We start from the raw sequence: 15,926 nt of genomic DNA on the forward strand, positions 1-15,926 counted from the left end.
TAACACATGCTAGTGCCCAGGCACTATACACTGGGATTCAGTGGTGTATGAGATAAAAATATCTGTCTTCCCATGGACCTTAGTGCTGAGTGGGTTTTGGGGAGGGAGACAGAAGTCACAGCTATGATTGGTGTGGTGATGCACGCCTGTAATCCCAGCTACTTGGGAGGCTGAAGTGGGAGGATCATTTAAAAAGAAGAGAAAAAAGCTAAGATATGAAACAAATCATTGCAAATGTGCAGTGTTAAAAGCGTAAGTACAGGATACTTTGAGAGCATATCTGGGAGTGACATAATTAAGGTTAGGGAGTTGGAGAAAGATTCCCAAGGAACTGTCATGTATAGTTTAAAAGTGTCTTGACGTACTTAGGATTAAATGAAAAAAATGGCTAGTAAGGTGATAGACTTCGGAAGCATAACATTGCTTTTGTTGGTAACAAAAGTGCACTTTAGGTGGATTAAAAATATTCTTCAGACACCATTCTTAGAACAGTGTAATTGCTTTGAGGTACTTGACTTCAGAATGTTGATGGTAGCATCAACTGTTTTACCATCCTCTGAAGTTAAAGCTGAAACCCCATGAGAATGATCAATAATTTAAGTGGAACATTAAGAATCTTGTAAGCTATCAAAGGGTCTGACTTTTTCTGCTATCACATCTACAAATTGTCTTTGAAGTTTGGGTAAGAAAAATTGAGTCTCAAAAACATGATGTATGAATGGAACGAGACACAAAGGAGTACATGGAGCGTGGTTCCATTTACGCTGAGTAAACAAAACCAAACTTAGGGCCAGGCTCGGTGGCTCACACCTGTAATCCCCTCACTTTGGGAGGGGGAGGTGGGCGGATCACCTGAGGTTAGGAGTTCAAGACCAGCCTGGCCAACAAGGCAAAACCCTGTCTCTACTAAAAATACAAAAAATTAGCTGGACATGGTAGTAGGCACCTGTAATCCCAGGTACTTGGGAGGCTGAAGCGGGAAAATCGCTTGAACTGGGGAGGCAGAGGTTGCAGTGAGCCAAGATCATGCCACTGTACTTCATCCTGGCAACAGAGCAAGACTCCATCTCAAAAAAAAAAAAAAATTTTATAGAACTGGGAAGTGCAAGGAAGTGATTAGCACAGTCATGGCAGTGGTCGTTTCTCGCAGGTAACCACTGTAGGTAACTGCTTTGTGATTAGGAAAGGAGCACACCCATGACTTCTGGGGTGTCAGCAGTGCTCTGTTTCTTGTGGTTATGTTGGTGTTCTATTAATTTACACTGAATACTTAACTACATTTTTCTATATATGGGATATATTTTCATAATTTTAAAAACCCTGTTCTAACAGTTTAGGAGAGAGGAAATGAAATTTTATCTGACAAAATATTTTCCTATCTAATTTAGATATATAAAATATGTAAAATTAAAACATTTTGAGGAAGTACTATTTATATTTAGCCCTTTTATGTGAGAGATACTATCGTAAGTTTTGCATATATTAACTCATTTAGTCTTCACAACTTTATAAGGAAGGTATGTATTGTCTACGATTTTGTAGATAAAGTAACTATTATCTGAGGAAGTTAAGCAACTTGTCCACAGTACACATCTGATAAATGGTGAAACGAGTGTTTGAATTTGGGCAGTCTAGCTTCAGAACCACTAAACTCTTTAGCACTATTAGGCTCTACTATTGAAAACCTTGATTACAAGAGCAAAATTACCAGGATATTCTAGTGGAATGAGTCTTCTAACTACTTCAGGGAAAACGCCAATCGTTTTGAAATATAATGGTGTTTATGGTTTATTTGTATTTCATAAAGATGTAATTTCATAATTCTAAGTTCTTAGTTAACTGTGTTGTGATCTCTCTGTTGACAAAATTTCATTTTTAGGATGCTATTCCTATGATCAGCAAACTGAGGTACAATCCCAGATTTGACAAAGCTTTCAAACATGTGTTTGGAAAGACTCTTATTTGTCGTAGCATGGAAGTTTCAACCCAGCTGGCCCGTGCTTTCACTATGGACTGTATTACTTTGGAAGGTTTGTAATACTAATTCTTAGCTTTAAACAGATAAATTCTAACAAATCATTTAAAACATATAATCTGGCTGGGCGCAGTGGCTCATGCCTGTAATCCCAGCACTTTGGGAGGCTGAGGCGGGTGGATCACCTGAAGTCAGGAGTTCAAGACCAGCCTGGCTAACGAGGCGAAACCCTGTCTCCATTAAAAATACAAAGATTAGCTGGGTGTGGTGGTGTGCACCTGTAGTCCCAGCTACTCAGGAGGCTGGGGCAGGAGAATTGCTTGAACCTGGGAGGCAGTGGTTGCAGTGAGCCGAGATCACGCCACTGCACTCCAGCTTGGGTGACAGAGCGAGACTCTGTCTCAAAAAACAAAGAGACATATAATCTGTATAATATGTCAGTTGAGCTGTATGCATGTCTGATTAATATATCTTACAGTATTTTGGAGACATTCTGGTTTTGAGAGTATTCGAAAAATTCATCCTTTGCCTTTGGCCGGGCATGGTGGCTCACATCTATATATAACCCCAGCACTTTGGGAGGCTGAGGCAGGTGGATAACTTGAGGAGGGAATTCAAGACTAGCCTAGCCAACATGGTGAAACCCCATCTCTACTAAAAATACAAAAAATTAGCTGGGTGTGGTGGCGCACACCTGTAATCCCAACAACTCAGAAGGCTGAGGCATGAGAATGGCTTAAACCTGGGAGGCAGAGGGTGCAGTGAGCCAAGATCACACCCCTGCACTCCAGCCTGGGTGATAGAGCAAGATCCTGTCTCAAAAAAAAAGAAAAATTTATTTTCAATTATTTTATAGTTTTTTAAATAGTTGGTTTGTTCAATTAAGAGTCCAGACAGGGTTCGTACTTGATATTTAGTTGATGTCTCTGAAATGTGATCATATAGCAGGGGTTCTTAACCTTTTTTGCAGTGTGGACTGCTTTGGCTGTTTGAAGCATATGGATCCTTCACAATTTTTTTTTTAATTTTTAAATTTATTTTTTTTTTACTTTTTTCCACAACAAAAGCCACATTCAACACAATTTTTAATGCATAAATTAAAATACTTTGGATCACAAAGGAGATGAATTGTATTCGCATGGTTATTATTTTAAAAAATATTATATAATTATTTAATGTATTCAAAAAACAAGATAGTAGTGGGTCTAATAGCTACCATAAGTTTGAAGTACTGATACATGTAAACAATATTTTGACATCTGACAAGTGTTACCTAATATGAAAATAGCTCTTCTTTTGGTAGTCACAGATACTAATACTACTACTGTGGTTCTTGTCGTGTTCGTTATAGAAGGGAAATGCTAAATCTCATTTTGAGGTTAATAAAAATAAAGATGTAAATTTTTTTCCTACTCAGATCACAGATCTTCTGAATTTTATCTTTGAAATCCAGGTTAAGAACCTCCAGTATATAGGTTTAGTTTACCTGCCCTCAATTTTTTTTTTCCTCTTTATTTGTTGAAGAAAGCAGGTAAACCCATCTCCCCCCAAGCTTTGTTTCTGTATATGTACGTTTTGTTGTGGTTGTTTTTGAACCATCCAAGAATAAGTAAAACATCATGTCATGTCATCTCTAAAATTTAAGCATGCATCTCCTAACAATAAGAACATTCTTTTGTATAGCCACAGTATCATTGTTACACCTAAGAAATTTAACATTAACCTAATATCCTCTAAAAAGTATCCATATTCAAGTTTTCTCAATTATCCTAAAATATTTTTCTATTTAGGATTAAATCAAGTATGCATATAGTGTCTTCTCTTTATTTTTTTTTTTTGAGATGGAGTTTCGAGCCCAGGCTGGAGTGCAGTGGCATGATCTCAGCTCACTACAACCTCCGCCTCGCAGGTTCAAGCGATTCTCCTGCCTCAGCCTCCCAAGTAGCTGGGATTACAGACATGCGCCACTATGCCCGGCTAATTTTGTATTTAGTAGAGACGGGGTTTCTCTATGTTGGTCAGGCTGGTCTCGAACTCCTGACCTCAGGTGATCTGCCTGCCTCAACCTCCCAAAGTGCTGGGATTACAGGCATGACCACCATGCCCGGTCTAGATTCTTTAAATATAAGACAGTTCCTCCTGCTCCCTTCTCCCCACCCAGAGAAATCCAGAAAAGTTCCATTTTCTGGATTTGTCTTATTGCTTCCTCATCATTGTTTAAATATTGTTGGCATGAATGCTACATGAATGATATGTACTTATGGTGTCATATAATGTGTCCCATTGTTAGTGATACTAGGTTTGATCACCTGCAGATCTCTCCGTTGTAAAGGTATCCCTTTGCCCCTTTGTAATTTAATAATATGTGAGATTATTCTTCAAGTCAGGTTCTCCCAACAACTTCAGTTGCTTTAGCACTTTGTTGACTCTTGCCTGAATCAGTTGTTACACTGGGGGGTTTCAAAATGGTGATTCATAAATTCTGTTATTGCTGCTGCATTTATTAGCTGTCACTCTTCTGTAGAAAAGAGTCTCCAATTTTCATTTTTTAAAAAAGTATCACTGTGATTCATGAATTTTTTTTTTTTAATTCAATATGTTATTACATTGGTATTGTTATTTTGATGCTCAAATTTTCCCAAATATGGCCAGTGGAAATTTCAAGCTAGGTCCTGTGTCCTACTAATATTTCCTCTTTAGTCTTCACTTCCTTCCCCTCTGGTAGATGTTCAGGTTCAACTGGAGGTTCTTTTTTTTTTTTTTTTTTTTTTAAAGACTGCAAATTTTGGCTGGGCACAGTGGCTTGACTCTGTAATCCTAGATACTTAAGAGGCTAAAGCATGAGGATCACTTGAGGGCAGGAGTTCGAGAACCGCCTGGGCACATAGCAAGACCTGGTCTCTACAAAAAAGGTGTGGTGGTGCACACCTGTAGTCCTAGCCACTCAGGAGGCTGAAGCAGGAGGATCACTTGAATCCAGGAGTTTGAGGTTGCAGTGAGCTATGACCGCACCACTGCACTCCAGCCTGAGCAACAAGAGCAAGACCCTGTCTCAAAAAAAAAAAAAAAAAAAATCTAGCATTGAAAAGCAAAATTTTTTCAGGGTGGTTTAAATTACTTTCAATTCTCATTATCTACTTAAAGCCTGTAGGTTAGTTTTTTTGTTATAAGTCAATTTATCATTGAATAAAAAAGTTGTACAGACCTATTACATATGTTTTGTTTATAGGTGACCAAGTCAGCCATCGGGGTGCTCTAACTGGGGGTTATTATGACACAAGGAAGTCTCGACTTGAATTGCAAAAAGATGTTAGAAAAGCAGAAGAAGAACTAGGTGAACTTGAAGCAAAGCTCAATGAAAACCTGCGCAGAAATATTGAAAATATCTTTTTGTTTTGTGCATAGTGATAGATATTGTGGGGGAAGAACTGTGTTTTGGTTGCCATATATAATCTTTTGTTTTTTCACATATTAAAAATTTCTTGTGTTTTAAGTTCAAGAGCTTATGTTTGTTTAGCTTTTGAAGACTAAAAGCTATTTTAATGATTCTTTGCTTAAGTGTTAAGTAGCTAATACCATGAAGTCACTTGGAAGAAAAGAACCCATAGAACACAAAAATAAAGGTTGTATCAGGCAAAGAAAGAGGAAACTGAGAAGGATCAGTTTGTGAATTGTACAAGTAAAACCTTGGTAGTTTTTTTTTTTTTCCCTTCTTCCCTGTTGAATTTATGTAAGCAAGAGATACTGTTTTAAGGAAGAGAGTGGGGGCGGCATCAGTAATGTTACATATTGCTTAGAAGTCAAATATATAAGGACTGGCATTTTATTGTACTTGTACAGTGGCACAGGCCTGTAGTCCCAGCTACTTGGGAGGCTGAGGCAGGAGGATCACTTGAGCCTGGGAGGTGGAGGTTGCGGTGAGCTGAGATCACACCACTGCACTCCAGCCTGGGTGACAAAGTGGGACCCTGTCTCAAAAAAAAAAAAAAAGGTGACAGGGGAGGGTGAAAAATGTTAGATTTTACTGTCTTGAAGTTATTTGGTGCAGATTTAATGTTAGTGGAGGAAATGGCTGTCAGATAACCAAGTCGGAGTAGCCATAGTTTTTTTTTTTACATAAAAATGGTGCTGCATGAGGAGTGGTTAGTTCAGTTCACAAATGAAACAATTGTATATGTGGATTTTCTTAAAACCACCATGGTGCTTTGGTATAAGAAGTACTTTATGTGTGCTTTCCATTTTGCCACACAAGTTGAAAAATATAGGTACTTGAGCATCAAGAATAGATATAAAGTTAATGATTTTTAACTGCTTCAGGTGAAACTGGAATTTTTTTAAAACTGCAGATTTATAACTTCTGTGCCATCAGTGCAAGCACAGAAAAAGAAAAATAAGCACCTGAGCTTTGACCTTGCAGGGGTCTGCATATCGCACTTTAAAGAACTGCCTGAATTTGGCAAGATGTTAACACAAAGAGCGTATGGGGAAATACTGAGGAAAAGGAGGATGTTGACAGTGTATACCAGCTGTCTTCCTGTGTTTGATAATCCAGCTAGATTGAATTATTCCACACATGGCAAGAACTCTTCATACATAAACCCTTAACATAGTGCCTTAAGCATAGTAACAGTAAACATTTGTTGAATGAAAAGATATTTAAAAGTATGTAATATTGTTAGATTTCACCTAACCTCCTTTATGGTTTTCCAAGAATTTGTTTTGTATAACTTTTAGTAAAACAGTATACATGTTATTCTGAGAGTGAAATGGGGTGAAATGTTTCAAGCTTCTTTATGATTGAATGCATTTTGGGTAATATAGTTCAGCATTGTTTTGGTCCATAAATTTGAGGACATAAATGTTATTTGGGGGTAAAGAAAAGGAAGGGATACATGGTGTTGTGTCTAAAAAGAATTAAGAACATACGATATATTTACAACCTGGAGATAATTTTCCTTAGCCTTGTATATGGATTAATAATGAAATTGATCAGTTGATGAACCAAATGCAACAGATCGAGACCCAGCAAAGGAAATTTAAAGCATCTAGAGATAGCATATTATCAGAAATGAAGATGCTAAAAGAGAAGAGGCAGCAGTCAGAGAAAACCTTCATGCCTAAGGTTCGTAAGTATATCTTTGGTTATAGATCGATTGTTACAGATTAATAATATGGAAATATGAATCATACATTATATGGGTTATCCTTGAATTTTATGTTTCATTTTTGTTTGGACCCATACTTTTTTTTTTTGAAGACAGAGTCTCTTTCTGTCTCACCCAGGCTGGAGTGCAGTGGTGCGTTCTCAGCTCACTGCAGCCTCCACCTCCTGGGTTCAAGCGATTTTCCTGTCTCAGCCTCCTGAGTAGCTGGGACTACAGACATACGCCACCACATCCGGCTAATTTTGTGTTTTTAGTAGACATGGGGTTTCACCATGTTGTCCAGGCTTGTCTCAAACTCCTGACCTCAGATGATCCACCTGCCTTGCCCTCCCGAAGTGCTGGGATTACAAGTGTGAGCCACTGTGCCCAGGCTAGACCCATACTTTTGGATATCTACATCTATTTTACCATTCTTAAACCCATGGATACCCAAAGTCTCCTATTGTTGGCACGTTCAAACTTTCCACCTTCATTGAACAAATAGGCATTTGAAGCTGTGACATAAGAGTACTGTCTGATGGTCAGTTTTTGTCAGTAACCATTTTTATCTGAAGCACAATGGAATTAGTTGAATATTTGATTCCGTTTTGTCCAGATTGTATTAAAATTAGAAAGCAAACTTATAAGTGATAGTGTGTTATTGGTCTCATAAACTTGACAGTTTTGACAAATCTTTTACTTAGTATAATACTAAAACTACAAAGAGCTTAAAAAAAAAAAAAAAGATGTGCCTACAGTTGTACCATCCCAACCATATTCTGACAACTTTTTATTTTTTGAGGGGGATGGAGTCTCGCCCTATCGCCCAGGCTGGAGTGCAATGGCGTGATCTCGGCTTACTGCAACCTCCACTTCCTGGGTTCAAGCAATTCTCCTGCCTCGGCCTCCAGAGTAGCTGGGATTGCAGGCGTGTGCCTCCACACCCAGCTAATTTTTGTATTTTCAGTATAGACGGGTTTCACCATGTTGGCCAGGCTCGTCTCGAACTCCTGACCTCGTGATCCACCCACCTTGGCCTCCCAAAGTGCTGGGGTTACAGGCGTGAGCCACTGCGCCCGGCAACTTTTTGTTCTTATAATATGCCTGAAGATTTTTGTATAGTTTAATCATGGAATATGATCTGCCCCACCCTGCCCCACCTATACTATTACATCATATTTTTCTTGTTGCTAGAGTCCTAATTACCAAATTAATAGGCACCTAATATTTGAGTTGATATGTCTATATATTTAGCTCAATCAAATATAGATTGTTTTAAAATTTTCACTATAAGTAATACAGTGGCTAATACCTTACTAATAAATGGATAATGTCATATAGCAACGTAGCTTACAGAGTTTGGAGGCAAGCTTGCATGCTATGGAGTCTACCAGAGAGTCATTGAAAGCAGAACTGGGAACTGATTTGCTTTCTCAACTGAGTTTGGAAGATCAGAAGAGAGTAGATGCACTGAATGATGAGATTCGTCAACTTCAGCAGGTAAGTAGACAGCTGACTGGAAAAAGAATTCGTTAGTAATTGGCTATTGTGAAAAGGGCCTTTCTTGCTAACTAGGGCAATATGAAAGAAAAGAACTGAGAAAATATTAAAATGAGGCTTGGACTTTTAATATACATAGGAGTAAATAAGATTTTGTTTTTCTAAACCAATCTAGCTAGGTTAGGATTATACAAGAAATTTTCATTTCCTTAAAATTTAGTTAATTAGCATTACTTATTAGTTGTAAGTATTGCTATGAGTTTGAGCTTGTTAGCCTTACCATATTTATCTTACTGCCTTTACATATTTAATGTTTTGATCAAGCATTTTAATTGATTTTTAAAACTGCATAGATGTAAACTACCAACACCGATTCTAAAAAATGAAAAGCATTTAAAGAAACTGTTTTTGACAGCATGCGTTATAAAAAGGGCCAGCCACAAAAATTTAACATTATGAATTGATAAGAGAAAAATGAAGAAAGTATAGGGCTTTTTTGAAGAATATAACATATTAAACTTCATTTCAGCTCACATGAGCACAAGTACTAGAGAGGACAGCAAATGAGCACCATTCCTGTGTGTGAAATGTACATGCTTATATAGACAACTTTTTCTTAATTCTAGGAAAACAGACAGTTGCTAAATGAAAGAATTAAATTAGAAGGTATTATTACTCGAGTAGAGACTTATCTCAATGAGAATCTGAGAAAACGCTTGGACCAAGTAGAACAGGTGTGTATGTGTTTTTTTTTTTTTTTTTAAGGGCTCCTTGGTGGCCATGACCTATTGCAAGTGGTTATATCAGAGGCTCTGATTGAAAGCATGGGCTTTGGGGACAGAAAGCTTAGTGTCTTGTGGGCCTTGGGTTGGAATTCTGCCACCTAGTGTGTGATTTTGGACAAGTCACTATTTCTAAGCCTCAGTTTCTTGTGTGAATTAAGCATTATCATACTTGTTTTATATAATTGCTATCCTGACACATTCTAAGTACTTTGTTAATATTTTTTCAGTGGTGGTTAGATGCTTAGAAATTTTCTAGTAATTGTGTCTTTTTTTTCTTCCCTTTAATGGATACTTCTAAGTATTTGTAATTATATGATGTATTTATATTTTTTTGTTTTCTTGAATGTTTATTCAGACAATAGCCATAGAAAATGTTGGCAGTCATAACATTTGAAACTAATGGAATTTGTATTTTTTGTTACAGGAACTTAATGAGCTGAGAGAGACAGAAGGGGGTACTGTTCTCACAGCCACAACATCAGAACTTGAAGCCATCAATAAAAGAGTAAAAGACACTATGGCACGATCAGAAGGTGAATTTTTATGTAGTAAAATTTTGTTTATATGCATGTTTTATAAAATTGTTTACTACAGAATGAAATGTCCAAATAGGCAGAAGCATATGCTAATGATTTTTTGTTTTCCATTATAAACAATGTATAGCAAATGGAATTTAGGAAGTTGACTATAAATAGTAACTTTTGTTTTACTGAAATGTTTATGACAATTTTGAGACCATAAATGATTCATTTTGTTGATAAAATATGAAATACCTGACGAAAGTTTCTCATCACTTAGTTGTTAGAAAATAACTATAGTTTATAAGCATTAACATTGAATAATGAAAATTATATATTTGAGTGACTCATATATACTTCTAATTTTGTACTGACTTAACATGGTTCATAAATTTTCACAGAAAATTTTAAACACAAAACCTAAAACCTATTTTGGTAGGTTTGATCATAAAAATCTATACTCAACATATAACACTGGCTTTATAGGTATTATAGCCTAATTTTGTTTCCCCCCATCTTAGATTTGGACAATTCCATTGATAAAACAGAAGCTGGAATTAAGGAGCTTCAGAAGAGTATGGAGCGCTGGAAAAATATGGAAAAAGAACATATGGATGCTATAAATCATGATACTAAAGAACTGGAAAAGATGACAAATCGGCAAGGCATGCTATTGAAGAAGAAAGAAGAGTGTATGAAGAAAATTCGAGAACTTGGATCACTTCCCCAGGAAGCATTTGAAAAGTACCAGACACTGAGCCTCAAACAGGTTGGTTTTAAATTTGAAGTCTTGTTACAAATTGCTCAGTATATAAATTTATTTATATGAATACATATTTTCTCTTTATAGTTGTTTCGAAAACTTGAGCAGTGCAACACAGAATTAAAGAAGTACAGCCATGTTAACAAAAAGGCTTTGGATCAGTTTGTAAATTTCTCCGAGCAGAAAGAAAAGTTAATAAAGCGTCAAGAAGAGTTAGATAGGGGTTACAAATCAATCATGGAACTGATGAATGTACTTGAACTTCGGAAATATGAAGCTATTCAGTTAACTTTCAAACAGGTATGTTTCGCTTTGTAGTTAAAACATACACACAGAGGACAAAAGCTTCCAGCTCTTTTCAGTTTGTAAAGATTTTAAAGCTGTTTTCCTCATTACCAGGTGAATCTAATACATGTGAACAAACCTAGCATATAGGTTTACAGTAACTTGAATGTTTTACACAGCCCTTAGAAGGATCTAGTCTGTTATCCTTGTTCTTAAGATTAAAAAATAATTGGTTGCTTTTAAATATTTTACTTAAGTGTTATATATAATTCTAAGCAAAATTTATATTTCAATCTGCTTTTGTTTTAAGGTATCTAAGAACTTCAGTGAAGTATTCCAGAAGTTAGTACCTGGTGGCAAAGCTACTTTGGTGATGAAGAAAGGAGATGTGGAGGGCAGTCAGTCTCAAGATGAAGGAGAAGGGAGTGGTGAGAGTGAGAGGGGTTCTGGCTCACAAAGCAGTGTCCCATCAGTTGACCAGTTTACTGGAGTTGGAATTAGGGTAAAATACCTTTATATTCCATTTTCCTCAGAGCATTACCATAATAGAATTTATAGTATCTTTTGCAAATCTGATTGGTGCATTATATGCAAGTTACTTTTGAAAGATGGTGGTGATTCTGCCCTTTAGGATATTAACTCATAATATGTTTATTTTTAGGTGTCATTTACAGGAAAACAAGGTGAAATGAGAGAAATGCAACAGCTTTCAGGTGGACAGAAATCCTTGGTAGCCCTTGCTCTGATTTTTGCCATTCAGAAATGTGACCCGGCTCCATTTTACTTGTTTGATGAAATTGACCAGGCTCTGGATGCTCAGCACAGAAAGGCTGTGTCAGGTACAGTTTCAGTACAGTTTTGGTTTTGTATTTAACAATAAGCTGGTAATATTTGCTGATGTATATATGAAAAAATCAAACTCAGGCAGTTTTGAATTTTAGTAAGAGTAAAGATAGTTGCTTTTTAAATTTTCAGATCTGCTGAAAAGAAATTTGTTAAAGCACAATTTTCTTTTTACAGATATGATTATGGAACTTGCTGTACATGCTCAGTTTATTACAACTACTTTTAGGCCTGAACTGCTTGAGTCAGCTGACAAATTCTATGGTGTAAAGTTCAGAAATAAGGTAATTTTATTTTACATTGAGTTTAAGTTTGTATTTATTCAATTATATTTGTTGAATTCTGATTTTATGTTACTTAAATAGTGAAAGAAAACTTAGAAAGTCTTTGCTTATCTGATGTCTTTGTAAAGAAAGAACTTTTCCTTCAAATAACTATGAAGTTTAGCAGTATTTTATGGCGTTGCATTGGTTTTATTTTCATTGGCATTAATAAACAATATCTTTCTGTCCAGTCTATTCAATGCTTCTGTAATGCACAGTCTTTAACAATTATATATGTTCATTTGTATAGACTGCATAGCTCTTCCTGGGTGTCTTCCCAACCTTAAAATTCTTGATGAAATAGCAAAGTAATAGAAAGTGAACAAAAAGGTAGTTTAGATGTTTAGGCATGATATTTATTTCTTCAGAGCATTAAAATACATATTTTTTAAATCTATGCATTGAACAAACACCACTGTAAATAAAGGTTTTATAAGTCAGTGCTTCAGAATTATTTTCCTTCATATGTAAAATATAGGTGATAGGCCGGGCGCAATGGCTCATGCCTGTAATCCCAGCACTTTGGGAGGCCAAGGCAGGTAGATAACCAGGTCAGGAGTTTGAGACCAACGTGGCCAGTATGGTGAAACCCCCGTCTCTACTAAAAATACAAAAATTAGCTGGGCATGCTGGCGTGCACCTGTCGTCCCAGCTACTTGGGAGTCTGAGGCAGAATAATTGCTTGAACCTGGGAGGCGGAGGTAGCAGTGAGCCAAGATGGTGCCACTGCACTCCAGCCTGGGCAACAGAGCAAGACTCCATCTCAAAAAAAAAAAAAAAAAAAAAAACTAAAAATTAAAAAATGTAGTTAAATGTAGTTGATAGGCTGTATATATTTACCCTATACAATGTAAACACTGATGTAATTAACAGATTTTTGTTTTTAACATTTATTCTTCAGGTTAGTCATATTGATGTGATCACAGCAGAGATGGCCAAAGACTTTGTAGAAGATGATACCACACATGGTTAATTGGAAAATACTACCTACTGGTTTGGGAGATGTATATAGTAATATGATTCTCATACCCAGGAACTGTAAATTTAAACCTAAATATTTGGCCAATAGTTTTCAGACTTAAAGCATCATAGTCCTTTTATATTTGTCTTTGTATTTTATAAGATACTCTGTAATGTCATGTTTGTACTGATAGTTTAAGAATTTAATTTCCTGTACAACTTTTTGTAAAATGTTCTGCTCCTATTTTAAATGTTTTGAAACATGCTAAATATTCTTTCCTAATTATTTTATCACTTATACTACCTTTTTTATAGCTTCAATTAAATAATCGGTTTTATGACTAATATAGTGTTTTATGTGGCTTTTCATTTGTCATAGTCTCTTCCAGTGAGAACACTAATCAGATTGGATGTAAGGCCTCATTTTAACTTAATCACCTCTTTAAAAGACCTGTCTCCAAATACAGTTAAATTTGAGGTATTGAGGGTTAGGACTTCAACATGTGAGTTTGGGAAGGGAAGCACAAAATCAGCCCCTACCATGGTATATTTATCATTGATACATTACTATCAACTAAGCTCAAGATTTTATTCAGATTTGACTAGTTTTTCCACTAAGGCCCTTTTTCTTTTCTAGGATCCCACAGAGGATACATTACATTTACTTACATCTCCTCTAGTCTGTGACAATTTCTCTGTCATTGTTTATCATATCTTGACAATTTTGAATAATATTCACATATTTTGTAGAATGTCCCTCAAATTAGGTTTGTCTAATATTTTTCTCATGGTTAGATTGGAGCTAATACCACAGAAGCGAAGTATTCTCATTACCTCATATAATAGTACATATTATTAACATGTTTTATCACTGATGTTTACCTTGATCACCTACCCAACATTGTACTTGCCAGGTTTCTTTGTTGTGAAGTTACATTTTTTTCCCTTTCCATACTACTCTTTTCTTTGAAAGTAGGTCTTTAAGCACTGGGGGTCTCCTGTGACCCTGGAAAACTACCTCAATAGTCCTCGTAGCTTTTTGTAGATTCTTTGAGATTTTCTACATAGACAGTCATGTCATTTGCAAGAAAGAGGCAGTTTTATTTCTTCCTTTTCAAATATTTACCTTTAATTTCTTTTTCTTGATTTCCCCTGGCCTGAGTTTATACTGGTTATCTGCAGGAGAATTTGTTAGGAGCTACTCTTCCATCATTGGAAACCAGAAATACCTAAAGAGATACTTTTAAAATAAAGAAATAGTAATGGGACTTTAAATTGAATTTAAAAATGTGAGTTTACTTTGGGTTTTCATTTTGACTGGCTGAATCTTTAAATGTTCGGTGTATTATTTATACTTTGTAGCTTTGCTATAACATAACTGATCTATAATAGAGAATTTGGTATATGTTCTATCTATGACTACATTCAAAGGGTTACGTAACTATAATATCTTTCTAATATTTCTACCATTTTTCTTACACATTTACCCAAGAATTTTTCTCAAACAACTACCTAAGAATATTCATCATGAATGCTTGGTGTATAGTTTACGATTTGTAGAGTTGCTCTGATATGACCAACCCCTTATAATACAGAATTTGGTGTAAGGTAAGTTCCAGGATTCAATTCAAGGGATGTTACAAACATAACATCATTCTAGAACTTCTTAATATTGTTCTTAAGCATTTCCCCAAGGATATTAGTATAATGAAATGCCAGTAAATTTATAACAATAAAGCATCTAAATAATGAAACAAAATTTTTGTAAAAGCCTATATTCTTTGCGATATCTTAGTCATGAATTAATTCTAATGAGACTGAATAGAAAAATGTGACAATCCTGAGCATGCTTAACCCAGAAACTTAGAGGAAGGACAGACATTTACCCAAGGAGTTAGCCAGTGATTCATAAGAAAATCTATGCTTCTCTTTGGCTGGATAGTCCTTTCCTCAGAGTAGTACTGATTCTTCCACTTTGAGATTTTGTTAATACTGTTACAAATACATTACATTCACCATAGTGGAATTGAAGAACATATATTTTAAGAGATGGTGGGGGGGGTCTCATCCCATCACCCACGCTGGAGTGCGGTGGCAGGATCACAGCTCACTGCAACCTTGAACTCCTGGGCTCAGGTGATCTTCTGCTTTGGCCTGCCAATATTAATATTTTGGGGCATTTCCTTCAAATCTTCATAAAAAGTTTTGTGGTTTATGTTTATTCTAGGTGTATAATTTTATATCTTAGATTTTTAATTTAGTAATAATATAAAATATTCCTGTTTTAATGCTTTGGAAACAAGATTTTAATAGTCATATACTATTCTGTCAAGTAGAAGTAGCATAATTTACTTAAATATCCCACTGGAGGCTTAGATCGTTTTCTTTTGGCTAAAGTACCAAAAATGAATTAAAAAACAGATCAACATTTTTATACATAAAACTCCCAACATTTAGGATTATTTTCCCAGCGTAGATTCCTAGAAGTCAGAGTGTGAATATTTGTAAGGATTTTTGTATACTCTTTATGCTCTTTTTGAAAAAAATGTAAAATATGAAATGGTTAGTATGTAGGTTAAGGATTTGTCTACTCAAAATTAGTGAAATAGTAATTTTAGAAAATGATGTAATTTATAGAAATAATTTTACTGTGAATAATATAATCAGTAGAAAAGGGAGAAATAGAAAGGGAGGATTTCTTTTTTAAGAGTAAGCAATAGCCGGTCGGGCACGGTGGTTCACGCCTGTAATCCCAGCACTTTGGGAGGCCAAGGTGGGTGGATCACAAGGTCAGGAGATCGAGACCATCCTGGCTAACCTGGTGAAATCC

General features: G+C 35.8%; 1 protein-coding gene across 1 annotated transcript in view; it reads left to right on the top strand.

The window, feature by feature from the left end:
* The window catches only part of SMC3 (structural maintenance of chromosomes 3), a 38,354-nt gene extending 23,499 nt beyond the window's left edge, over nucleotides 1-14,855 (top strand). Inside the window, exons 18-29 of the mRNA NM_005445.4 lie at nucleotides 1,880-2,030; nucleotides 5,205-5,357; nucleotides 6,946-7,097; nucleotides 8,461-8,619; nucleotides 9,246-9,353; nucleotides 9,829-9,937; nucleotides 10,444-10,691; nucleotides 10,773-10,985; nucleotides 11,281-11,472; nucleotides 11,632-11,809; nucleotides 11,991-12,097; nucleotides 13,038-14,855. Of these exons, the coding sequence (NP_005436.1) occupies nucleotides 1,880-2,030; nucleotides 5,205-5,357; nucleotides 6,946-7,097; nucleotides 8,461-8,619; nucleotides 9,246-9,353; nucleotides 9,829-9,937; nucleotides 10,444-10,691; nucleotides 10,773-10,985; nucleotides 11,281-11,472; nucleotides 11,632-11,809; nucleotides 11,991-12,097; nucleotides 13,038-13,109 (1,842 nt within the window). The 3' untranslated portion in view covers nucleotides 13,110-14,855. The remainder of the gene's footprint in view (nucleotides 1-1,879; nucleotides 2,031-5,204; nucleotides 5,358-6,945; nucleotides 7,098-8,460; nucleotides 8,620-9,245; nucleotides 9,354-9,828; nucleotides 9,938-10,443; nucleotides 10,692-10,772; nucleotides 10,986-11,280; nucleotides 11,473-11,631; nucleotides 11,810-11,990; nucleotides 12,098-13,037) is intronic.

This window comes from Homo sapiens, chromosome 10 (genome assembly GCF_000001405.40).
Source record: "Homo sapiens chromosome 10, GRCh38.p14 Primary Assembly".
Classification (NCBI taxonomy): domain Eukaryota; kingdom Metazoa; phylum Chordata; class Mammalia; order Primates; family Hominidae; genus Homo; species Homo sapiens.